The sequence below is a fragment of the Homo sapiens genome, chromosome 6 (assembly GCF_000001405.40).
Source record: "Homo sapiens chromosome 6, GRCh38.p14 Primary Assembly".
Classification (NCBI taxonomy): domain Eukaryota; kingdom Metazoa; phylum Chordata; class Mammalia; order Primates; family Hominidae; genus Homo; species Homo sapiens.
In genome coordinates, this window is record NC_000006.12 from 30,515,196 (window position 1) to 30,541,372 (window position 26,177).

The 26,177-nt window shown below is 44.6% G+C and overlaps 1 long non-coding RNA gene across 1 annotated transcript, besides 1 other annotated feature; it reads left to right on the forward strand.

Moving 5' to 3' along the window:
- The first annotated feature begins 1,070 nt into the window (after window positions 1–1,070).
- Window positions 1,071–4,385, forward strand: LINC02569 (long intergenic non-protein coding RNA 2569). Its single transcript, NR_149088.1, has 2 exons — window positions 1,071–1,416; window positions 3,518–4,385. It is a non-coding gene; the product is annotated as a long intergenic non-protein coding RNA 2569 (long non-coding RNA).
- Window positions 2,755–3,254: an enhancer, noted in NCBI's record as "H3K4me1 hESC enhancer chr6:30485727-30486226 (GRCh37/hg19 assembly coordinates)". NCBI's record gives its function as "activates a minimal SCP1, AML or CMV promoter by ChIP-STARR-seq in primed H9 embryonic stem cells {active_cell/tissue: H9 hESC(primed)}" and the evidence as "EXISTENCE:reporter gene assay evidence [ECO:0000049][PMID:30033119]".
- Window positions 4,386–26,177: the final 21,792 nt, after the last annotated feature.

The following is a 26,177-nucleotide window of genomic DNA, read 5'->3' on the forward strand; positions in this document are numbered from 1 at the left end:
AATCTTGCATAAAGTGGGTCCTTTTTAAATGGAAATACGGCTACTCCTCAAAGGAAGGCTAGGAATTTTGCTCTGTGTGACCCTAGTCGTAGTTCTTCACAGAGGGCTCCATTTCACTTGCCTTTCCTTCTGCTTTTTTCTTCACTCGTTTCCCCACAGAGCAAGACAAAAGAAGCCGGCAAGGATGGCTCTGGTCAGGGTCTGCCTTCAGCCACCCAAATGGGATTGCAAAGAGGAGGACAGGGATGGAAAGGGGAAAGTTTGATTTGGTTTGGTTTGCTTAGTCTTTCTATTGGTACCACTTCCTTATCCCAACCTCATCATCTTCCCCGATCCCTACCAACCCACTGCAGGCATATGAGCCCTAAAATCTGGGAAAGGCTTTTTTCCCTAGGGGCCCTGGCCTCACAGACTTGCCCAGGGGGGTAAATTCTCAGTGGCTCAGTGGCACGTGCCTCACGTCCTCACCGGCAGCCTAGATAGATAGATAGATAGATAGATAGATAGATAGATAGATAGATGATAGATAGATATATAGTTTTTTTTTTTTTTTTTTTTTTGAGACGGAGTTTCGCTCTTGCCGCTGCCCAGGCTATAGTGCAATGGCGCCATCTCGGCTCACCGCAACTTCCGCCTCCCAGGTTCAAGCGATTCTCCTGCCTCAGCCTCCCGAGTAGCTTGTATTACAGGCATGCGCCACCACACCCGGCTAATTTTGTATTTTTAGTAGAGAGGGGGTTTCTCCATGTTGTTCAGGCTGGTCTCGAACTCCCAACCTCAGGTGATCCGCCTGTCTTGGCCTCTCAAGTGCTGGGATTACAGGGGTGAGCCACCGCGCCCAGCCGGGAGCCCCTATTTTAAGGACGCTATTGCTGTGGAGGAGTAACCCCACTTTTAGGAATCCTTTTCCGTGCGAAAGGCTGTTTGAGATCAGGCGCAACAACTTCTCCCGCTCAGGTTACCCTCAGAAAGGCTATGGACCCCGGACTCCGCCCCAGATTGCATAACAACTGAGGGGTGGGTCCCTATTTCCTCTCTGGGATCTGTAGCCAATCATTCACGAGGTAAACAGAACGACCGAGTTTCTCTCAGCCGAGAACTGTGGCTGCCCCTCCGGTGAAAACAGAGGAAGTGGGAGCGGCAGGAAGCGCTTTGGGACCAGGGCGACCCCTGAAGCGTAGAGGAACCAGGTCACAAGCATACGTGAATGCTCACATTCCATAGTTATCAAATGTATTCAGGTTTAAATTTTACTTTTCTAGAAAAAATGTAAATAATCCGTTGAGAATATTTAATGAAAAATGTTGGTCGTATCTTTATCTGGTCTGCGGCTCTGTCCCTGTTTCCTGGATAGGAGACTACGTCTGTATCTTGTATCACAGGAGGCACCTTCTTCCTGTTTCCTGGCACAGACTTGTAAGTGAATTTCCTGCCCGCCTCCGCCCACAGCGTAAGCCGCGCTGGAACAGCTCACTTATTGCCCCAGATGTATGTGGAGTAACCGCCTTCAGTTTCCTGGTTCTGAGTTTCCGTGTTACTCAAGCAATGCTTCTGCTGAATTTGTCTTTTTTTTTTTTTTGAGACAGAGTCTTGCTTTGTCGCCCAGACTGGAGTGAAATGGCGTGGTCTCGGCTCACTGCAGCCTCCACCTCCTGGGTTCAAGCGAGTCTCCTGCCTCAGCCTCCTGAGTGTGCAACTTATCTTTTTATTTTATTTATTTATAATTTTTTGGCTAATTTTGGCTATTTTGTGTCTGTGTGTGTATTTTTAGTAGACATGGGGTTTCACCATGTTGGGCAGGCTGGTCTCGAACTCCTGACCTCAGGTGATCCGCCCACCTCGGCCTCCCAAAGTGCTGGAATTACAGGCGTGAGCCACCGCACCTGGCCTATTTATTTATTTATTTATTTGTGACTGAGTCTCGCTCTGTCACCCAAGCTGGAATGCAATGGCGTGATCTCGGCTCACTGCTACCTCCACGCCCCAAGTTTAAACAATTCTCCTGCCTCAGCCTCCCGAGTAGCTGGGACTACAGGTGTGCACCACCACATCCAGCTAATTTTTTGTATTTTTAGTAGAGATGGGGTTTCACCATGTTGGTCAGGCTGGTCTCGAACTCCTGACCTCAAGCGATCCACCCACCTTGGCCTCCCAAAGTGTTGGGATACAGGCGTGAGCCACTGCACCTGGTTGAATTTCTCCTTTTAATTGGAGGTTTCATTTTATTTTTCTTTATTTATTTTTTTGAGACGAAGTTGCACTCTTGTTGCCCAGGCTAGAGTGCAGTGGCGCGATCTGGGTTCACTGCAACCTCTGCCTCCCAGATGCAAGTGATTCTCCTGCCTCAGCCTCCTGAGTAGCTGGGAATACAAGCACCCACCACCATGCCCAGTTAATTTTTGTACTTTTAGTAGAGACAAGGTTTTGCCATGTTGGCCAGGGTGGTCTCAAACTCCTGAGCTCGTGATCTGCCCACCTCAGCCTCCCAAAGTGCTGGGATTACAGGCGTGAGCCACCGTGCCTGGTCTCGTTCTTTATTTTTTATTTTATTTTTTGACACCAGATCTGCTCTGTTACTCAGGCTAGAGTGCAGTGGCATTGAGAGGTGACAACCTGCTAGCAGCCCTTGCTTGCTCTTGGCGCCTCCTCGGCCTCGGTGTCTGCTCTGGCCGGGCTCGAGGAGCCCTTCAGCCCACTGCTGTGCTGTGGGGGCCCCTCTCTGGGGCTGGCTGAGGCCGGAGCCGTCTCCCTCTGCTTGGGGGGAGGTGTGGAGGGAGAGACGCCAGTGGGAACAGGGGCTGCGCGTGGTGCTCCCGGGCCAGTGGTGTTCCGGGTGGGTGCGGGCTAGGCAGGCCCTGCACTGGGGGCAAGGTTGGCGTCGCCTGCTGGGCTTGATGGGGGGGTGGGGGAGGAGCGCCCTCTGGGCTGCCGGAGTGCCCCACTAGGCGCGGCAAAGTCCCGGGAGTGCCATTGAGAGGTGAAGCCAGCTGGGCTTCTGGGTCTGGTGGGGACTTGGAGAACTTTTGTGTCTAGCTAAAGGATTGTAAATGCACCAATCAGCACTCTGTGTCTAGCTAAAGGATTGTAAACACACCAATCAGCACTCTGTGTCTAGGTAAAGGATTGTAAACGCACCAATCAGCACTCTGTGTCTAGCTAAAAGTTTGTAAATGCACCAATCACCACTCTGTGTCTAGCTAATCTGGTGGGGATTTAGAGAACTTTTGTGTCTAGCTAAAGGATTGTAAACTCACCAATCAGCACTCTGTGTCTAGCTAAAGGATTGTAAACACACCAATAAGCACTCTGTCAAAACGGACCAATCAGCTTTCTGTAAAATGAACCAATCAGCTCTCCGTAAAATGGACCAATCAGCTCTCTGTAAAATAGAACAATCAGCAGGATGTGGGTGGGGCCGGATGGGGGAATAAAAGCAGGCCACCCAAGCCAGCGGCGGCAACGTGCTCGGGTCCTCTTCCACACCGTAAAAGCTGCTTTGTTCTTTTGCTTTTTGCAGTAAATCTTAGTGCTCCTCACTCTTTGCGTCTACGCTGCTTTTATGAACTGTTAACACTCACTGTGAAGGTCTGCAGCTTCACTCCTTAAGCCAGCGAGACCACAAACCCACTGGGAGGGATAAACAACTCCAGACGGGAGGAACAAACAACTTCGGGTGCACCACCTTTATGAACTGTAGCACTCACTGTGAAGGTCTGCAGCTTCACTCCTGAGGCCAGCAAGACCACGAACCCACCAGAAGGAACGAACAACTCCAGATATGCCACCTTTAAGGGCTATAACACTCACCGCGGAAGTCTGCAGCTTCACTCCTGAAGTCAGTGAGACCATGAACCCACCAGAAGGAAGAAACTCTGGACACATCTGAACATCTGAAGGAACAAACTCTGGACACACCATCTTTAAGAACTGTAACACTCACCGCGAGGGTACACGGCTTCATTCTTGAAGTCAGCGAGACTAAGAACCCAACAATTCCGGACACAGCATGATCTTGGTTCACTACAACCTGGATCTCCCAGAGTCAAGCAATCCTCTCGTCTCAGTCTCCCAAGTAGCTGGAACTACAGGTGTGTGCCACCATGCCCCACTAATTTTTGTATTTATTGTAGAGACGGTTTCAGCATGTTGCCCAGGCTGGTCTCCAACTCCTGGACTCAAGTGATCCTCTCCACCTAGGCCTCCCACAGTGCTGGGATTACAGGAATGAGCCACCACGCCCGGCCTAATTGGAAGTTTTAGAGTGCAGTGGGGATCACGTGCGTAGAGGTTACTGCTGCCTTAATTAAAGGAGACAACATGTTTCATAAAACTTGGAAATTGTAGAGGGTGTGGGGAACCACTCAAATTCAGAATATCAAAACAGAACTTTATTTTTTGTGTATTTGTTGCCAATCTTTTTCCCTACATATGTAATGTTTGTTTGTTTGACATGACTACCATTTCTGTTTTCATAATATGTTTAATACTTTTCCTCCACTTAACAAACATGGCTACGATTTGCCAAGTTGCTGATCATCCTTTTTTTTTTTTTTTCGAGACAGAGTTTCACCCTTGTTGCCCAGGCTGGAGTGCAGTGGCAGATCTCAGCTCACTACAACCTCTGCCTGCTGGGTTCAAGTGATTCTCCAGCCTCAGCCTCCCAAGTAGCTGGGATTACAGGTACCCGCCACCACTCCTGGCTAACTTTTGTATTTTTAGTAGAGACAGAGTTTTGTCAGGTTGGCCAGGCTGGTCTCAAACTCCTGACCTCCAGAGATCCACCCGCTTCAGCCTCCCAAAGTGCTGGGATAACAGGCGTGAGCCACTGAACCTGGCCCAGATCATCCTTTTAAGTGTTCTTTTTCATTTGTAGGTTTAACATTGGCTTTGGGGTGAGAAAGAAACCAAGACTCACCCAGAGTCATAAGCCCAACAAGAGAATGGGTCTGTCTGGGCTAGCCCTGGGCTACTGGATGAGCAGGGTTGGCCTTTTCATTCTCTGAGTCTTCGTTTCTCTGGCCTTTACATTTCTCTGGAGGGACTTTTCATTTTCTCTGGAAACCAACTCCAAGTGCACTTTTCCAGAAGGCATTTTTGTAATGCCTGGTTGGCTGCATGCGACCTCTGGTTTTCCTCCTTCACCCTTTCCTGCTCAGTCACTGCATTTTCTGTTCTCAAAAGAACCCTCTCATATAGCACGTGCAGAGAGCAGTAGCGAGTCAGGCTGTCCCGCGGTGTGTGTCCGGACTCCTGTGTGCTCTGGCAGTGGGGCCAGTGGGCTGGGAAGAGTTGCAGGAGAAACCCAGTGGGAGAGAAAGACTCCAACCTGGGAACCTCGGGGCATCTGGTAGCGCCAGAATGACTTTCCAAAATTTTGGTTGGGGCAGTCACAGGCCCCTGCTCGCCACGGTGGCCTCTGGCAAAGAAACACATGTGGGGCAGACAAGAGGGATGCTCGCCAATCTCCTCTGAATTTTGCAACCCTGTGTGTTAAAAACAGGTATTTCTGGTCTTTAAAGACACTTGGAAAAGACAGACTTGTTGAATACTTAGAAAGGCCAAGCCACAGCCAGAAGCTTGGTGTCTGGGATCCATCATCTCTAAGGTTTTAAAAGCATCTTGCTGGAATAGGAACAGCTCCGGTCTGCAGCTCTCAGCAAGACCAACACAGAAGATGGGTGATTTCTGCATTTCCAGCTGAGGTACCTGGTTCATCTCATTGGGACTAGTTGGACAGTGGGTGCAGCCCATGGAGGGCGAGCCAAAGCAGGGCAGGGCATCGCCTCACCTGGGAAGTGCAAGGGGTCAGGGGATTTCCCTTTCCTAGCCAAGGGAAGCCGTGACAGACTGTACCTGGAGGAACAGTACACTCCTGCCCAAATACTGGGCTTTTCCCATGGTCTTCACAACTGACAGACCAGGAGATTCCCTCCCGTGCCTGGCTCGGTGGGGCTCATGCCCATGGATCCTTGCTTACTGCCAGTGCAGCAGTCTTAAGATTGGCCTGGCATGCTGCAGCTTGTTGGGGGGGTGGGAGGGCGTCCGCCATTCCTGAGGCTTGAGTAGGCAGTTTTATGCTCACAGTGTAAACAGGCCGGGAAGCTTGAACTGGGTGGAGCCCACTGCAGCTCAGCAAGGCCTACTGCCTCTCTAGATTCCACCTCTGTGGGCAGGGCATGTCAGAACAAAAGGCAGCAGACAGCTTTGGCAGACCTAAACGCCCCTGTCTGACAGTTCTGAAGAGAGCAGTGGTTCTCCCAGCATGGCATTTGAGCTCCGAAAATGGACAGACTGCCTCCTCAAGTCGGTCCTTGACCCCCGTGTACCCTGACTGGGAGACACCTCCCAGTAGGGGCCAACAGACACCTCACACAGGCAGGTGCCCCTCTGGAACAAAGCTTCCAGAGGAAGGATCAGGCAGCAATATTTGCTGTTCTGCAGCCTCCGCTAGTGATATCCAGGCAAACAGGGTCTGGAGTGGACCTCCAGCAAATTCCAACAGACCTGCAGCTGAGGGTCCTGACTGTTAGAAGGAAAACTAACAAACAGAAAGGAATAGCATCAACACCAACAAAAAGGACATCCACACCAAAACCCCATCTGTAGGTCACCAACATCAAAGACCAAAGGTAGAAAAAACCACAAAGATGGGAAGAAACCAGAGCAGAAAAGCTGAAAATTCCAAAAACCAGATTGCCTCTTCTCCTCCAAAGGATCACAGCTCCTCACCAGCAAGGGAACAAAACTGGATGGAGAATGAGTTTGACAAGTTGACAGAAGTAGGCTTCAGAAGGTTGGTAACAAACTTCTGCGAGCTAAAGGAGGATGTTCAAACCCATCGCAAGGAAGCTGAAAACCTTGAAAAAAGGTTAGACAAATGGCTAACTAGAATAAACGGTATAGAGAAGACCTTAAATGACCTGATGGAGCTGAAACCCATGGCACGAGAACTACATGACTCATGCACAAGCTTCAGTAGCTGATTCAATCAAGTGGAAGAAAGGGTATCAGTGATTGAAGATCAACTCAATGAAATAGAGCAAGAAGACAAGATTAGAGAAAAAAGAATGAAAAGAAATGAACAAAGCCTCCAAGAAATATGGGACTATGTGAAAAGACCAAATCTACATTTGACTGGTGTACCTGAAAGTGACGGGGAGAATGGAACCAAGTTACAAAATACTCTTCAGGATGTTATCCAGGAGGACTTCCCTAACCTAGCAAGGCAGGAAAACATTCAAATTTAGGAAATACAAAGAACACCACAAAGATACTTCTTAAGAAGAGCAACTCCAAGACACACAATTGTCAGATTCACCAAGGATGAAATGAAGGAAAAAATGTTAAGGGCAGCCAGAGAGAAAGGTCGGGTCACCCACAAAGGGGAGCCCATCAGACTAACAGCGGATCTCTCAGCAGAAACCTTACAAGCCAGAAGAGAGTGGGGGCCAATATTCAACATTTTTAAGAAAAGAATTTTCAAACCAGAATTTCATATCCAGCCAAACTAAGCTTCATAAGTGAAGGAGAAATAAAATCCTTTACAGACAAGCAAATGTTGAGAGATTTTGTCACCACCAGGCCTGCTTTACAAGAGCTCCTGAAGGAAGCACTAACCATGGAAAGGAACAACTGGTATCAGCCACTGCCACTGCAAAAACATGCCAAAGTGTAAAGACCATTGACACTATGAAGAAACTGCATCAATTAATGGGCAAAATAACCAGCTAACATCATAGTGACAGGATCAAATTCACCCATAACAATATTAATCTTAAATGTAAATAGGCTAAATGCCCCAACTGAAAAACAGACTGACAAATTGGATAAAAAGTCAAGACCCATCGTTGTACTGTATTCAGGAGACCCATTTCATGTGCAAAGATACAAATAGGCTCAAAATAAAGGGATGGAGGAAGATCTACCGAGCAAATGGAAAGCAAAAAAAAAATCAGGGGTTGCAATCCTCGTTTCTGACTAAAAAAAAAAAAAAAGATTTCAAACCAACAAAGATCAAAAGAGAGAAAGAAGGGCATTACATAATGGTAAAGGGATCAATTCAATAAGAAGAACTAACTATCCTAAATACATATGCACCCCAAACAGGAGCACCCAGATTCATAAAGCAAGTCCTTGGAGACCTACAAAGAGATTTAGACTCCCACACAGTAATAATGGGAGACTTTAATACCCCACTGTCAATATTAGACAGATCAATGAGACAGAAGGTTAACAAGCATATCCAGGACTTGAACTCAGCTCTGGACCAAGGGGACCGAATAGACATCTACAGAACTCTCCACCCCAAATCAACAGAATATACATTCTTCTCAGCACCACATCACGCTTATTCTAAAATTGACCACATAATTGGAAGTAAAACACTCCTCAGCAAATATAAAAGAACAGAAATCACAACAAACTGTCTGTCAGACCACAGTGCAATCAAATTAGAACTCAGGATTAAGATTCACTCAAAACTGCACAACTACATGGAAATTGAACTACCTGCTCCTGAATGACTACTGGGTAAATAATGAAATGAAGGCAGAAATAAAGATGTTGTTTGAAACCAATGAGAACAAAGACACAACATACCAGAATCTCTGGGACACATTTAAAGCAGTGTGTAGAGGGAAATTTAGAGCACTAAATGCCCACAAGAGAAAGCAGGAAAGATCTAAAATCAACACCCTAACATCACAATTAAAAGAACTAGAGAAGCAAGAGCAAACACATTCAAAAGCTAGCAGAAGGCAAGAAATTACTAAGATCAGAGCAGAACTGATGGAGATAGAGACACAAAAAACCCTTCCAAAAAATCAGTGAATCTAGGAGCTGGTTTTTTGAAAAGATCAACAAAATTGATAGACTGCTAGCAAGACTAATAAAGAAGAAAAGAGAGAAGAATCAAATAGACACAATAAAAAATGATAAAGGGGACATCACCACCAATCCCTCAGAAATACAAACTACCATCAGGAATACTATAAACACCTCTACACGAATAAACTAGAAAATCTAGAAGAAATGAATAAATTCCTGGACACATACACCCTCCCAAGACTAAACCAGGAAGAAGTTGAATCCCTGAATAGACCAATAACAGGCTCTGAAATTGAGGCAATAATTAATAGCCTACCAACCAAAAAAAGTCCAGGACCAGACGGATTCACAGCCAAATTCTACTGGAGGTACAAAGAGGAGTTGGTACCATTCCTTCGGAAACTATTCCAATCAATAGAAAAAGAGAGAATCCTCCCTAACTCATTTCATGAGAACAGCATCATCCTGATACCAAAGCCTGGCAGAGACACAACAAAAAAAGAAAATTTAAGCCAATATCCCTGATGAACATCAATGCAAAAATCCTCAATAAAATACTGGCAAACGAAATCCAGCAGCACATCAAAAAGCTTATCCACCATGATCAAGCCGGCTTCATCCCTGGGATTCAAGGCTGGTTCAACATATGCAAATCAATAAATGTAATCCATCACATAAACAGAACCAACGACAAAAACCACATGATTATCTCAATAGATGTAGAAAAGGCCTTCGACAAAAATTCAACAACCCTTCATGCTAAAAACTCTCAATAAACTATGTATTGATGACATATTTCAAAATAATAAGAGCTATTTATGACAAACCCACAGTCAATATCATACTGAATGGGCAAAAACTGGAAGCATTCCCTTTGAAAATTGGCACAAGACAAGGATGCCCTCTCTCACCACTCCTAGTCAACATAGTGGTGGAAGTTCTGGCCAGGGCAATCAAGCAAGAGAAAGAAATAAAGGGTATTCAATTAGGAAAAGAGGAAGTCAAATTGTCTCTGTTTGCAGATGACATGACTGTATATTTAGAAAACACCATCATCTCAGCCCAAAATCTCCTTAAGCTGATAAGCAACTTCAGCAAAGTCTCAGGACACAAAATCATTGCACAAAAATCACAAGTATTCCTATATACCAATAACAGACAAACAGAGAGCCAAATCATGAATGGACTCCCATTCACAATTACTACAAAGAAAATAAAATACCTAGGAATCCAACTTACAAGGGATGTGAAGGACCTCTTCAAGGAGAACTACAAACCACTGCTCAACAAAATAAAAGAGGACAAACAAACGGAAGAACATTCTATGCTCATGGATAGGAAGAATCAATATCGTGAAAATGGCCATACTGCCCAAGGTAATTTATAGATTCAATGCCATCCCCATCAAGCTACCAATGACTTTCTTCACAGAATTGGAAAAAACTACTTTAAAGTTCATATGGAACAAAAAAAGAGCCCACATTGCCAAGACAATCCTAAGCAAAAAGAACAAAGCTGGAGGCAGCACGCTACCTGACTTCAAACTATAGTACAAGACTACAGTAACCAAAACAGCATGGTAGTGGTACCAAAACAGATATATAGACAAATGGAACAGAACAGAGGCCGCAGAAATAACACCACACATCTACAACCATCTGATCTTTGACAAACCTGACAAAAACAAGCATGGGGAAAGGATTTCCTGTTTAATAAATGGTGCTGGGAAAACTGGCTAGCCATATGTAGAAAGCTGAAACAGGATCCCTTCCTTACACTTTATACAAAAATTAACTCAAGATGTATTAAAGACTTAAACATAAGACCTAAAACCATAAAAACCCTAGAAGAAAACCTAGGCAATACTATTCAGGACATAGGCATGGATAAATGCTTCATGACTAAAACACCAAAAGCAATGGCAACAAAAGCCAAAATAGACAAATGGGATCTAATTAAACTAAAGAGCTTCTGCACAGCAAAAGAAACTATCATCACAGTGAACAGGCAACCTACAGAATGGGGAAAAATTTTGCAATCTACCCATCTGGCAAAGGGCTAATATCCAGAAGCTACAAAGAACTTAAACAAATTTACAACAAAAAAATCAAACAACCCCATCAACAAGTGGGCGAAGGATATGAACAGACACTTCTCAAAAGAAGACATTTATGCAGCCAAAAGACATATGAAAAAATGCTCATCATCACTGGTCACCAGAGAAATGCAAATCAAAACCACAATGAGATGCCATCTCACGCCAGTTAGAATGGTGATCATTAAAAAGTCAGGAAACAACAGATGCTGGAGAGGATGTGGAGAAATAAGAACACTTTTACACTGTTGGTGGGAGTGTAAATCAGTTCAACCATTGTGGAAGACAATGCAGCGATTCCTCAAGGATCTAGAACTAGAAATACCATTTGACCCAGCCATCCCATTACTGGGTATATACCCAAAGGATTATAAATCATGATAAGGACACATGCACATGTATGTTTATTGCGGCACTAGTCACAGTAGCAAAGACTTGGAACCAACCCAGATGTCCATCAATGATAGACTGGATTAAGAAAATGTGGCACATATACACCGTGGAATACTATGCAGCCATAAAAAAGGATGAGTTCATGTCCTTTGCAGGGACATGGATGAAGCTGGAAACCATCATTCTCAGCAAACTATCACAAGGACAGAAAACCAAACACTACATGTTCTCACTCATAAGTGGGAGTTGAACAATGAGAATACACAGACACAGGGCAGGGAACATCACACACCGAGGCCTGTGGGGGGGTTGGGGGTTAGGGAAGGGATAGCATTAGGAGAACTACCTAATGTAAATCACCAGTTGATGGGTGCAGCAAACCACCATGGCACAGGTATACCTATGTAACAAACATGCATGTTGTGCACATGTACCCCAGATCTTAAAGTATAATAAAATAAAAAATAAAAAAAATCTTCCCTACTTTTTAAACTGTATGTTGCTTTGTAGCAATACATTATGCACATTATAAAGTGTTTTAATTAGAAATTTTAGAAGATATGATAAAGAAAAATAATTTAAATAACAATTTTTATTCAAAATACAAATAATAGGGCTGGGCGCGGTGGCTGACGCCTGTAATCCTAGCACTTTGGCAGGCCGAGGCGGGCAGATCACGAGGTCAGGAGTTCAAGACCAGCCTGGCCAACATGGTGAAACCCTGTCTCTACTAAAAATACAAAAAATTAGCTGGGCGTAGTGGCGGGTGCCTGTAATCCCAGCTACTCGGGAGACTAAGGCACAAGAATCGCTTGAACCCGGGAGGCGGAGGTTGCAGTGAGCCGAGATCGCACCACTGCACTCCAGCCTAGGCGACAGAGTGAGACTGTGTCTCAAAAAAGAAAAAAAAAGAAAAGAAAAGAAAAAGAAAAAAGAATATTTTGCCCTTATAACATTATTAATTATATACTTTCAAGTGAGAGCAATATGACTAATTATGCTTAATTATTTTTGAAAATGATGCTTTAACAATTTGTAATGCAGACATTTGATGGTCTGGTTCTATGTTGAGTTCATGTTGATACTTGGTCTTAAGGACAGTTAGAGCTGATAAAAATAACTTGTGCATAGACCAGGCGCGGTGGCTCACGCCTGTAATACCAGCACTTTGGGAGTCTGAGGCGGGCGGATCACGAGATCAGGAGATGGAGACCATCCTGGCTAACACGGTGAAGCCCCGTCTCTATTAAAAATACAAAAAAAATTAGCCAGGTGCGGTGGCAGGCACCTGTAGTCCCAGCTACTTGGAAGGCTGAGGCAGGAGAATGGTGTGAACCTTGCAGTGAGCCGAGATCACGCCACTGCACTACAGCCTGGGCAACAGAGCGAAACCCCGTCTCAAAAAAAAAAAAAAAGAAAGAAAAAAAAAAGAAATAACTTCTGCACACATCATAACATTCATACATAATGAATCATTGATATACTCATTAAAATGTGACTCATCCAGGAAAATCCCATCCCTAAATTATTTAAAGTTTTTGTTTTCCCTCAGCTACTATTTCTGTTCTACCTTATGCAAACTAATGAGAAACCATTGTCCCAAGACTGGTGGCCTCCTGGCATGGTTGTGCAACAGCTGTTGTCAAACTCCAGAGTCTAAAGTGCACCACGAAAGCCAGATGGCAGGCCAGATCCAGCCTCCCTGCTAAATGAAATGTTCACTGGCCAGGGAGAAACAACCACGTGGAAAATTAAATAAACCCATGACATTTGTAGCCAGCAGCTCGGGTGTTTTGTAGGGTTTTCCCTGAGAAGTGGGGACTAATCGCATGAATCACTTTTTTTTTCTTTTTAGAGTCTTATCTATTTGTGAATAAATGTTTCCAATTAAAGCATTGCTACTAAGCCTCAGTTTTCTCACCTCTACCATGGAGTTAAAATGTCTACTTCACACTGTCCATAAAAGAATTAAGATGGCCGGGCGCGGTGGCTCACGCCTGTAATCCCAGCACTTTGGGAGGCCGAGGCGGACGGATCACGAGGTCAGGAGATCGAGACCATCCTGGCTAACACAGTGAAACCCCGTCTCTACTAAAAATATGAAAAACTAGCCTGGCGTGGTGGTGGACGCCTGTAGTCCCAGCTACTCAGGAGGCTAAGGCAGGAGAATGGCGTGAACCCAGGAGGCGGAGCTTGCAGTGAGCCTAGATTGTGCCACTGCACTCCAGCCTGGGCGACAGAGCAAGACTCCGTCTCAAAAAAAAAAAAAAAAAAAAAAAAAAAAAAAAAAAAAGCCAGGCATGGTTGGTGGCTCACACCTGTAATCTCAGAACTTTGGGAAACAGGCAGGATCACTTCAGCCCAGAAGTGTGGGACCAGTCTGGGCAACATAGTGAGATCCTGTCTCTTAAAAAAAAAAAGAAAAGAATCAAAATAAAACAAGAAAACAAAAACACAGAACAAGTGCATCATCATAGTGGTGACAATTTTTAGGAAACTTTTTTTGTTTTTTTCTGTGTGAACCTAACTCATCTAATAAGGGAGTGTGTGAACATTTCCATGTTGGTCCATTTTTTATGTGCCTAAATGGACAAAGTCACCCAGGACCTGGCTGCTGGACTCATCCTTAGGAAGAATAAAGAAAAAGGAAGTTTATCTCTAGCATCTTTCTCTTGCCCTTGTTTTCTTCCTGGCCACAGTCATGCCCTGGATTTCAGTGTCTCTAAACATCTAGCAGCCTCTCACCCAGCATAACCCCTGTTGAGGTCCAGGGCACGATGGTGGGAGTGGGTGCAGAAGAGACAGAGAGACCACTGGTTTGAGTGTCTAGGGTTTGGGTCCTCAGGAAGAACTTGGCCCGGCGCGGTGGCTCACGCCCGTAATCCAAACACTTCGGAGACCGAGGCGGTTGGATCACCTGAGGTCAGGAGTTTGAGACCAGCCTGGCCAACATGGTGAAACAACGTCTCTACTAAAAATACAAAAAATTAGCCAGGCGTGGTGGCAGGCACCTGTAATCCCAGCTACTCAGGAGCTTGAGGCAGGAGAATCACCTGAACTCGGGCCGCGGAGGTTGCAGTGAGCCGAGATTGCGCCAGTGCACTCCACCCTGGGCAACAAGAGTGAAACTCCGTCTCAAAAAAAGAAAAAAAAAGAAGAAGAACTTCTTGACTTGACTCAGCAGGACTTTTTCCATGGGTCTAAAGCTAGGTGTGAAGAGAGTGAGCTCGTGGTGAGAGGAACTTGTTCATCAAAAGGAGTCCATGCCCAGTGGCAGAAGTGGAGAGGTGGGTATGGGACACACAGGGAAGCTGCTCTCTTCTGTTGTCTGTGGCTTCTGTTGGAGGATGTGCTGTGGGAATGCAAGGAGGAGATGGAAGGAAGGTGTCAATATAGCTTTAACAAAGGAAAAAAAAATGAAAACACCGAAACCACCCTTGCAAAAATTGTAACAGTGAGAAAATTATGACATTGAAAGATATCCAATCTAACCCAACTCCTTCTTGCCTTTAACCTCCAAATTGCACTTAGTCATTCCTGAGCAAAGGCCAAGCTAACTTTGGGAGAAATTTCGTTTACAGTTTAAATGATAATAGCCCTTCCCAAAACTAACCTGTCTTTGTAAAAATGATGAAAGGCCACCAGGTTAGGGAGGATGAGAGGGGCCTGAATGCAGGCTTAGATAAACAATTACCCGCCATTGTTTCAGAGGTCACAAGATTTGTAACTTCCCCAATTAGTCCTGTAAAATGATATCACTGTGGCCTTTTGAGATGTCTTTGCAGTTATTTTTTGTTTTGTTTGCTTTGAGACAAGGTCTTGCTCTGTCACCAAGGCTGGAGTGCAGTGATCATAGCTCACTGCAGTCTCTATCTCCTGGGCTCAAGTGAACCTTCCACCTCAGCCTTCCAAGTAGCTGGGACTGCAGGTGCATGCCACCATGCCTGGCCAGTTTTGTTGTTTTTTGGTTCTGGGGTGTTTTTTGCTTGTTTGTTTGTTTTGTTTTTGTATTTTTAGTAGACATGATGTCTGGCTCTGTTGTTCAGGCTGGTCTCAAACTCCTGGACTCAAGCGATCCTCCTGCCTCAGCCTCCCAAACTGCTGGGGTTACAGGCACGAGCCACCTTGCCCAGCTCAGGCTTTTCCATTTTGGAAAACCAGATGACTCCACCCAGATCCAAGACCGGTCCTATGGCCCCACTCAGAAGTGGACTCAGTGCACGAGGACCATTTTCCACATCCCTATGATTGCATCCCAATCAATCAGCAGCACCCATTCCCTAGCCACCTGCCCAGCAAACTATCTTTTTTTTTCTTTTTTTCTTGAGACTCTGTCGCCCAGGCTGTAGTGCAGTGGTGCAATCATGGCTCACAGCAGCTTCAACCTCCCTGGCCCAGCCTCCCAAGTCACTGGGACTACAGGTGTACACCACCACACCTGGCTAATTTTTAAATTTTTTGTAGAGATGGTGTCTTGCTGTGTTGTCCAGGCTGATCTCAAACTCAAGGACTCAAGCAATCCTCCTACCTCAGACTCGAAAAGTGCTGGGATTACAGGTGTAAGCTGCCATGCCCAACCCAAACTATCTTGAAAAAGCCTTCAAATTTGAGAGGAGGCTGATATAAGTAATAATAAGACTTCAGTCTCCTGTTTAACTGGCTCTATGTATATAAAACTCTTTCTCTATTGCAATTCCCCTGTCTTCATAAATTGGCTCTATCTGAGCAGCAGGCAAAATGAACCAATTGGGTGGTTACAACAGTATCAGCATATACAGTAGAATTGTAATATCCATCATATACCAACTGCAAATTAATTTTAAAAGATATATTGTTAAAACCATATAAGTGATATAAGTAATTTACAGAAGAATAAATTCAATTGAACAATAAATATGAAATTATTTTCAACCCCTCCAGTCATATAGTAAAAGTAAATTAAAACTTTTTTTTTTTTTAGACAGAGTCTCACTCTGTCGCCCAGGGTGGAGTGCAGTGGCGCGATCTCAGCCCACCGAAACCTCTGCCTCCTGGGTTCAAGCGATTCTCCTGCCTCAGCCTCCTGAGTAGCTGGGATTACAGGCGCCCGCCACCATGCCCGGCTAATTTTTGTATTTTTAGTAGAGACGAGGTTCCACCATGTTGGCCAGGCTGGTCTCGAACTCCTGATCTCAAGTGATCCATCAACCTTGGCCTCCCAAAATGCTGGGATTACAGGCATGAGCCACTGCACCCAGCTTAAAACAATGTTTTAACCTCTTGTTGATAAGAGTGTAAACTTATCACCTTTGGGGGAAGTAATTTAGTACCTATTAATATTAAACATTTTCATAACCTTTGATTTAGCATTTCCACTTAAATTAGTGCCTTAGTTAGTTTGGGCTGCTATAACAACACCACAGCCTGGATGGCTTATAGACAACAGAGGTTTATTTTTCACAGTTCATGGGGCTGGGAAGTTCAGGTATCAAGGCACTGGCAGTTAAGGTGCTTGGTGAAGGTCCTTTTTCTGTTCCCAGTTCACAGATGTCCCACCTTCATTTTCTTTCTTTTCCTTCTTTTTCTTTCTTTCTTTTTCTCTTTCTCTTTCTTTCTTTCTCTCTGTCTTTCTTCCTTCTTTCTTCTTTCTTTCTTTTTTTTTTTTTTTTTTAACAGATGAGGGTTTTCTCTGTCACCCAGGTGGCTGGAGTGCAATGGTGTAAGCTTGGCTCACTGCAGCCTCAACCTCCTGGGCTCAACTGATCTTCCCACCTCAGCCGCCCGAGTAGCTGGGACTACAGGTGCATGCCACCAGGCCCAGCTAAATTTTTGTAATTTTGTAGAGACGAGGTCTCATTATGTTGCCCAGGCTGGTCTTGAACTCCTGGGCTGAAGCAGTCCTCCCACCTCGGCCTCCCAGATGCTGGGATTACAGACGTGAGCCACCACACCCGGCCCATCCCACCGCCTTGCTGTGGCAGGGAGAGCAATAGCCTCTCTTCATCTCTTTATAAGGGCACCAATCCCATTATGCCCCCATGACTTTATCCAAACCTCATTATAGCCCAGGCCCCACCTCCAAAGACTATCACATTGGGAATTAGAGAGCTTCAACATACAGTTTGAGGGGACTACAAACATTCCATTCATGGCAACTAGGAATTTATAGAAACACTCCCTCTAGTGTGCAAAAAAGTAAGTACAAGAATTTTTGGGGTTTTTTTGTTTTTTGTTTTGTTTTGTTTTGTTTTGTTTTCTGAGACAGGGTCTCGCTGTCACCCAGGCATGGTACAGTAGCATAATCACAGCTCATTGAAGCCTCAACTTCCCAGGCTCAAGCAATCCTCCCCGCTCAGCTTCCCGAATAGCTAGGACTATAGGCATACACCACCACACCCAGCTAATTTTTTTTTTTTTTTTGAGATGGAGTCTCGCTCTGTCACCCAGGCTGGAGTGCAATGGCACGATCTCAGCTCATGGCAACCTCCGCCTCCTGGATTCAAGCAGTTCTCCTGCCTCAGCCTCCTGAGTAGCTGGGACTACAGGCGCATGCCACCACACCCAGCTAATTTTCATACTTTTAGAAGAGACAGGGTTTCACCATGTTGGCCAGGCTGGTCTCGAACTCCTGACCTCGTGATCCACCTGCCTCAGCCTCCCAAAGTGCTGGGATTACAGGTGTGAGCCACCGCGCCCAGCCTAATTTTTGTATTTTTTGTAGAGATAGGGTTTCACCATGTTGCCCAGGCTGGTTTCCAATATCTGGGTTCAAGCAATCTGCCCGCCTTAGCCTCCCAAAGTGCTGGGATTAGAGATGTGAGCCACGGCACCCACCCAAGAATGTTTTTTTGAGGCATTATGTCTACTAGTGAATAATGGGGGGGGGGGCCGTGGGGGGAGTACCAGAATAGTTAAAGTAGGCTGTGTATATACAATGAAATATCACAGTATCATTTTGTAAAGATCTATATGTATTGACATGGGAAAATGAGCACATCATAAATAAATAATAAAAGTTGCAGAACAATATAAACTGGAAGAAACATTTTTTTCAATCTTCCCCTCCATCCATCTTTGCTGATATATAAACAGGAAAAAGTTGGGGGAGAGAATACAGGAACACGGAACAAACAGTAAACAATGGTTATCTCATAGACGTGATTGGCGGCATTTTTGGTTTTGGTTTTCTTTTTGAGACGGAGTTTCGCTCTCTCACCCAGGCTGGAGTGAAGTGGCACGTTTTTGGCTCCCTGCAACCTCCGCCCCCCAGGTTCAAGCGATTCTCCTGCCTCAGCCTCCTGAGTAGCTGGGATTATAGGCACCTGCCACCATGCCCGGCTAATTTTTGTGTGTGTGTGTTTTTTTCAGTAGAGACGGAGTTTCACTATGTTGGCCAGGCTGGTCTTGAACTCCTGACCTCAGGTGATCTGCCCGCCTCGGCCTCCCAAAGTGCTACGATTACGGGCATGAGCCACTGCACCCTGCCATAGAGGGCATTTTTGCTTTCTGAGTTAGTCAGGGTTCTCCAGAGAAATAGAATATACATACATACGTACATACATACATACTTGCAGAGAGAGAAAGAGAGAGTGTGACTTATTTTAAGGAATTAGTTCACAAAATTGTGGAGGCTTGGTGAGTCCAAAGTCTGATAGGAGAGCCCAGCAGGCTGGAGACACAGGAAAGAGTTGCAGTTCAAGTCCAAAGGTGGTGTGCTGGAAACTTCTGACCAGAACAAAAGAGAGAGGACAGCCTTTTGTTCTAACCAGGTCTTCAACTGATTGGATGAAGCCCACCCTCATTACATTTAAAGTTCACCAATTTAAATGTAAATCTCATCCAAAAACACCTTCACAGAAACATCCAGAATAATGTTTGACTAAATATCTGGACACCATGGCCCAGACAAGTTGACACATAAAATTAAACATCGTAATGAGATCTGCTGCTATCTATGAATTTATGTTTCTAGTGTATTTGTAAGGTACATGGATCATTCCTTTATTTCTCTCTCTATATATATAGATATATATATACTTTTTATAATCATAAATATGTGTATGCATGCATATGTATGTATAAGAAAATATATATACATATAGACATAAAATTATGCATTTGTGCTAGGTACTTGTGATGGTTAATTTTATTTGTCAACTTGGCTAAGCCATGGTATTCAGATATTTGGTCAAACATTGTGGATGGTTTTGTGAGGGTATTTTGGATGTTTCAAATTGGTGCATTTTGAATAAAGCAGACTGCCCTCCACAATGTGAGTGGGCCTCATCCAATCATTCAAAGGCCTAAGACAAAAAGACTGAGGTCCCTGAGGAAGAGGGAATTCTGCCTCCACACCGCCTTTGGACCTGAGCTGTAACATCAACTCTTTGCTGCTGGCCTGCCTGCTCTGCAGATTTTGGATTTGCCAACCCCTATGATAGCATGAAACAGTTCTTTCATCTGATTGGTTCTAACTCTCTGGAACACCCTAACTAATACAGTGCTGTTATAGGTACTGAGAATAGAGTGATCAACAGGGAAGAAAACGTGCTGTCTTGGGGCCTTGCTGGCGGGTGGATGGTAGACACTCAATTGTGTGAGGCTCATTGGCCATAGAGGAACTCATGCAGGAGAAACTCACCTTGCCTAGGTTGAAAGGAGGGGAATCAGGCACATATTCCCCTCTGAGGAATATGTCAGCAGAGACTGGATGTGGCAAGACTACAGGTGGCGGGTAGGTGGGACAGAGTATTCCAGACCAGGGAACAAAAAGGGATAAAAGTCTTGGGGTGGAAAGGACATGTTTGAGAAACAGAAATAAGACCAGGTGCTGGGACCAGGAGTCCTACACTCATCACACTCAGTTACTCATGGGGTGACTTCAGAAGCCCTAAAAGATTTTGTTTCCCAATTTTTTTTTTTTTTTGACAAGATCTTGCTCTGTTGCCCAGGCTAGAGTGCAGTGGCACGATCATAGCTCACAGCAGCCTCAATCTCTCGGGCTCAAGTGATCCACCCACCTCAGCCTCCTGAGTAGCTGGGACTACAGATGAATGCATCATGCCCAGCCGATTTCTTTTGTTTGTTTGAGATGGAGTCTCGCTCTGTCACCCCGAGTGGAGTGCAGTGGCATAATCTTGGCTCACTGCAACCTCCACTTCCCAAGTTCAAGCTATTCTCCTGCCTCAGCCTCCCTAGTAGCTGGGATTACAGATGCCCACCACCACACCCAGCTAATTTTTGTATTTTGAGTAGGGACGGGGTTTTGCCATGTTGGCCAGGCTGGTCTCGAACTACTGACCTCAAGTGATAACGCCCGCCTCAGCCTCCCAAAATGCTGGGATTACAGGCATGAGCCACTGTGCCTGGCCCAATGCAATTTTAAGATGATTTTATGTATATTGTAGGAGAGAAAAATAGGTAAATATATTAAGAGTATTAAGAGCCAAGGCTTTCGATTGCCCTGATAAAAGATATACAAATACAAAGTCCAAGAAGAGGGAAAAACCTATAATGTACAATTTGAATTGGAAATACCAATATGAATTCATGATTTTTTTTAAACCCTAAATGTGACTTAAAGCGATGACACCTCTGTAGCAACGAGCTCTCCCAGCACTAAAGACCATTCCTCACTAAAACGAATCAATGTTCCTTAGAAAGATGGCTGATTTTGGCCAGGTGCAGTGGCTCACGCCTGTAATCCCAGCACTTTGGGAGGCCGAGGCGGGCAGATCACAAGGTCAGGAGATCGAGACCATCCTGGCGAACACAGTGAGACCCTGTCTCTACTAAAAATACAAAAAAGTAGACAGGCATGGTGGTGGGCACCTGTAGTCCCAGCTACTTGGGAGGCTGAGGCAGGAGAATGGCATGAACCTGGGGACAGAGCTTGCAGTGCGCTGAGATCACGCCACTGCATTCCAGCCTGGGCGACAGAGCAAGACTCGGCCTCAAAAAAAAAAAAAAAAAAAAAAAAAGATGGCTGATTTTGGCCAAGTGCAGTGGCTCATGCCTGTAATCCCAGCAATTTGGGAGGCTAAAGGCAGGCAGATGCAGATCACTTGAGGCCAAGAGTTTGAGACCAGCCTGGCCAACATAATGAAACCCCATCTCTACTAAAAGTACAAAAATTAGCCAGGCGTAGTGGCAATGCCTATAATCCCAGTTACTCAGGAGGCTGAGGTGGGAGGATCACTTGAACTCTGGAGGCAGAGGTTGCAGTGAGCTGAGATCATGCCACTACACTTCAGCCTGGGTGACAGAGTGAGACTCTGTCTCAAGAAAAAAAAAGGAAAGAAAGAAAGAAAAAAGAAAAAGAAAAATGGCTGATTCCACATCTGGAGCTGGGAAAGTAAAAAAAAATTGTGCCTGGGACATCTAGTTGTGTCAAAAGCAAGCAAGTGCTCACAGAACTTTTGGGGTATGTCAGAATGGATGTAGGAGTTAGCTTAAAAGGGCTCCCACTGGGGCCCTCTCCCAATCTAGATCATTCTGGCCAATAAGGTGAAACCCCGTCTGTACTAAAAATACAAAAATTAGCTGGCCATGGTGGCATGCACCTGTAGTCCCAGCTACTCAGGAGGCTGAGGCAGGAGAATTGCTTGAACCCAGGAGGCAGAGGTTGCAGTGAGCCGAGATCGTACCACTGCACTCCAGCCTGGTGACAGAGTGAGACTCCATCTCAAATTAAAAAAAAAAAAAAAGGCTCCCACTGGACACATAAGGTACAGTTCGAGCACAAAAAAATAATGACTGTAACCAATTGTGAAATATTAAATGGATACCTGGCATGGTGTAGTCCCAGCACTTTGAGGCCAAGGCAGGTGGATCACTTAATCTCAGGCAACATGGCAAAACCCCATCTCTACAAAAAATACAAAAATCATCTGGGTGTGGTGGCATGCACCTGTGGTCCCAGCTACTCAGGAGGCTGAGGTAGGAGGATCACTTGAGCCTGGCAGGTTGAGGCTGCAGTGAGTGGTAATTGCGCCACTGCACTCCAGCCTGGGCAACAGACCGTGATGCTGTCTCAAAAAATAAAAGAAATACTGAATGGATAAAAACCCTAAATCTATAGTTTAAAAAAAGAAAAAAAATAAATTTTCTACCTTTGGAGATTAATATCATACCAATACCTTATTCTGAAAACTGGTAAAGGGAAATAAGCATTTACCTTGCCTTTTAGAAGGACCCTACTTTGGCCGGGCGCTGTGGCTCATGTCTGTAATCCCAGCACTTTGGGAGGCTGAGGCAGGTGGATCACTTGAGGTCAGGAGTTTGAGAAGGACCCTACTTTTTCCAGTTGGTGAGAGAAAGCTCCTTCCTAGGTAATTATGCCCTTATAAATGTAGAAGTGGGAGAATTAGAAAAGCACCTTTTGTAATTTCTGATGAAATAACCAATTCAAGCAAGAATCACTGTAGATGGCGATAAGAGAAAGTTTTTCAGCGTATACACACAGTGTCAAAGAACCATGCAGACGACTTGCTAATTGCCAAGAGGGAAACATAACCTTTACAGAAAAGATCTGACCGTGTCCATCCTAACCAAGCAATCATACTTAGCATCACTGCTTGTGGGATGGCTTCATATCATATGCCTTCTGATGTGAGGCAATGTGACATATATAGCAAGTTTGAGGAATTAGTCCCAAGACTGGGTAACCTGAATCTAACCAAGAAATTGGGGGAAAACCCCTCAAAACTCAGGGAGACAGATGAACACATTAAGTGACATCAAAGAAACAGTAAGACAAATCTAGAATGTTGAACAGTCTAAAAGACAACTGCCCTAGTATCCTCAAAGATCCAATTCCAAGAAGAAAAAAACTGGATGATTGTAGATTAAAAAGAAAGGGGTGAGAAAAGGACATAAAAAAATGCAATGTTGAAACTTGATTGGTTCCTGTTCTGGGAGTTTTTTAAAAGCTATATATTAAAACATCATGCTATACACCATAAATCTATACAATTTTTATTTGGTAATTATACTTAGGAAAAATTAAATGCTATAAAAGGCATTCAAATTGGAGAAGTTTAATGCTAGATGACATTAAAAATTATTAACTCATTAAACATGATGATTCTATTATGATTGTGTAAGAGATGTATATGAAGTATTTAGGGGTGAATGGTCATGATGTCTGCAAGTTTCTTTTTTTTTGAGATGGAGTTTTGCTCTGTCACCCAGGCTAGAGTGCAGTGGCACTATCTTGGCTCACTGCAACCTCCACCTCCCAGGTTTGAGCAATTTTCCCACCTCAGCGTCCTGAGTAGCTGGGATCATAGGCATGTACCACCATGCCCGGCTAATTTTTTGTATTTTTAGTAGAGACGGGGTTTCACCATGTTGGCCAGGCTGGTCTCCAACTCCTGGCCTCAGGTGATCCGCCTACCTCGGCCTCCCAAAGTACTGGGATTACAGGTATGAGCCACCATGCCCAGCCGATGTCTCCAACTTTCAAATGGTTCAGGGCTGGGTGCAGTGCAATCCCAGCACTTTGGGAGGCCGAAGGAGGCGGATCACCTGAGGTCAGGAGTTTGAGGCCACCTTGGCCAACGTGGTGTAATCTCGTCTCCACTAAAAATACAAAAATTAGCCAGGCATGGTGGTGCACACCTGTAGTCCCAGCTAATGGGGAGGCTGAGGCAAGAGAATCACTTGAACCCGGGAGGCAGAGGTTGCAGTGAACCAAGATTGCACCACTGCACTCCAACCTGGGTGACAGAGCAAAACTCCATCTCAAAAAGAAAAAAAAAGTTCAAATGGTTGAGAAAAGACAACACTTGTATACTGTTGGTAGGAATGTAAATTAGTACAGCTATTATGGAAAACTGTATGGCGGTTCCTCAAAAAACTAAAAATAGAATTACCATATGGGGCTGGGCACAGTGGCTCACACCTCTAATCCCATCATTTTGGGAGGCCAAGGTGAGCGGATCACCTGAAGTCGGGAGCTCGAGACCAGCCTGGCCAATATGGTGAAACCCCATTTCTACTAAAAATACAAAAATTAGTTGGGCGTGGTGGTGGGCGCCTGTAATCCCAGCTACTTGAGAGGCTGAGGCAGGAGAACCGCTTGAACCCGGGAGGCGGAGGTTGCAGTGAGCTGAGACCGTGCCATCGCACTCCAGCCTGGGCAACAAGAGTGAAACTCCATCTCAAAAAAAAAAAAAAGAATTACCATATGATCCAGCAATCTTGCGTCTGGGTATTTACTAAAGAGATTTGAAATCAGTATGTCGAGGAGATACCTGCACTCTCATGTTCGCTGCAGCACTATTAACCACAGTGAAGTTACATAGTCAAACGAGTGTTCATCAGCAGATGAATGGATAAAGAAAATATGGTATATAGGCCGGGCGCAGTGGCTCAAGCCTGTAATCCCAGCACTTTGGGAGGTCGAGGCAGGCGGATCACGAGGTCAGGATATCGAGAGCATCCTGGCTAACACGGTGAAACCCCATCTCTACTAAAAGTACAAAAGAATTAGCTGGGCGTGGTGGCAGGCGCCTGTAGTCCCAGCTACTCTGGAGGCTGAGGCAGGAGAATCACTTCAACCTGGGAGGCGGAGTTTGCAGTGAGCTGAGATTGCACCAGTGCACTCCAACCTGGGTGACAGAGCAAGACTCCGTCTCAAAAAAAAAAAAAAAAAAGAAAGAAAGAAAGAAAATATGGTATATATACCGTGGAATGCTATTCAGCCTTTAAAAAGAAATTTTGTCATTTGAGACAGCGTTAATGGAATTGGAGAACATTATGCTGAGTGAAGTAAGCCAGGCACAGAAAGACAAATACTGTATGTTCTCACTTATAAGTGGAATCTAAAACAATCGAACTTAAAGGAGGAGAGAGCAGAATAGTAGTTACCAGAGGCTGGGGGTCTGGGGTAAATGGGGATATGATGGTTAAAGGTTACAAAGCTTCATTGGACTGGAAAAATAAGCTTTTCTTTTTCTTTGAGATATACTGCACAGCAAAGTGAATATAGTAAATAATTCTTGGACATTTCATAAGTGTTGAGGGTAAATATCTTTTTTACATTTTTAACATATTCCCTCCTCTGAATGTAGAGAGTAAATTTCAAACATTCTCACCACAAAAAAAGTAAGTATTTAAAAGTGATAGATGTTGGGCCGGGTGCAGTGGCTCACGTCTGTAATCCCAGCACTTTGGGAGGTGGAGGTGGGTGGATCACCTGAGGTCAGGAGTTGGAGACCAGCCTGGCCAACATGGTGAAACCCCGTCTCTACTAAAAATACAAAAAATTAGCCGGGCATGGTGGCGGACGCCTGTAATGCCAGCTACTCGGGAGGCTGAGGCAGAAGAATCACTTGAACCCGGGAGGCGGAAGTTGCAGTGAGCCGAGATTGCACCACTGCACTCCAGCCTGGGCAACAAGAGTGAAACTCCATCTCAAAAAAAAAAAAGTGATAGATGTTAATTTGCTTGATTTAATCATCCCACAGTGTATTCATGAATCATAACATCACTTTGTACGCCATAAATATATACAACTATAATTTGCCAATTTACAATTAAAGGTTAAAATTTTTAAAAATAAAAGGTAATGACAACAAAAAAAATGGATAAGTAGACAGAAAAATCGATTAATACAGAAGCTGGCAAAAACTAGTAAAGCAAATATGGCAAAATGTAGAATTTGTTGAATCTTTCAGTATTTGGGTGTTTATTGTTCTTTTTCTATGTTAGAAATTTTTCAAAATAAAAAGTTGCAAATGATTTCCATATTATTCTGATTTTTACACAGTAACAGAAAACATTCCTGGCTGCAGCTCATTAATATTTCTTCTTTGTTCTCCTGAGGAATCAAAAGATTCTCATTTATGATATGTCAAAAGGCACATAAAGAAACATATCC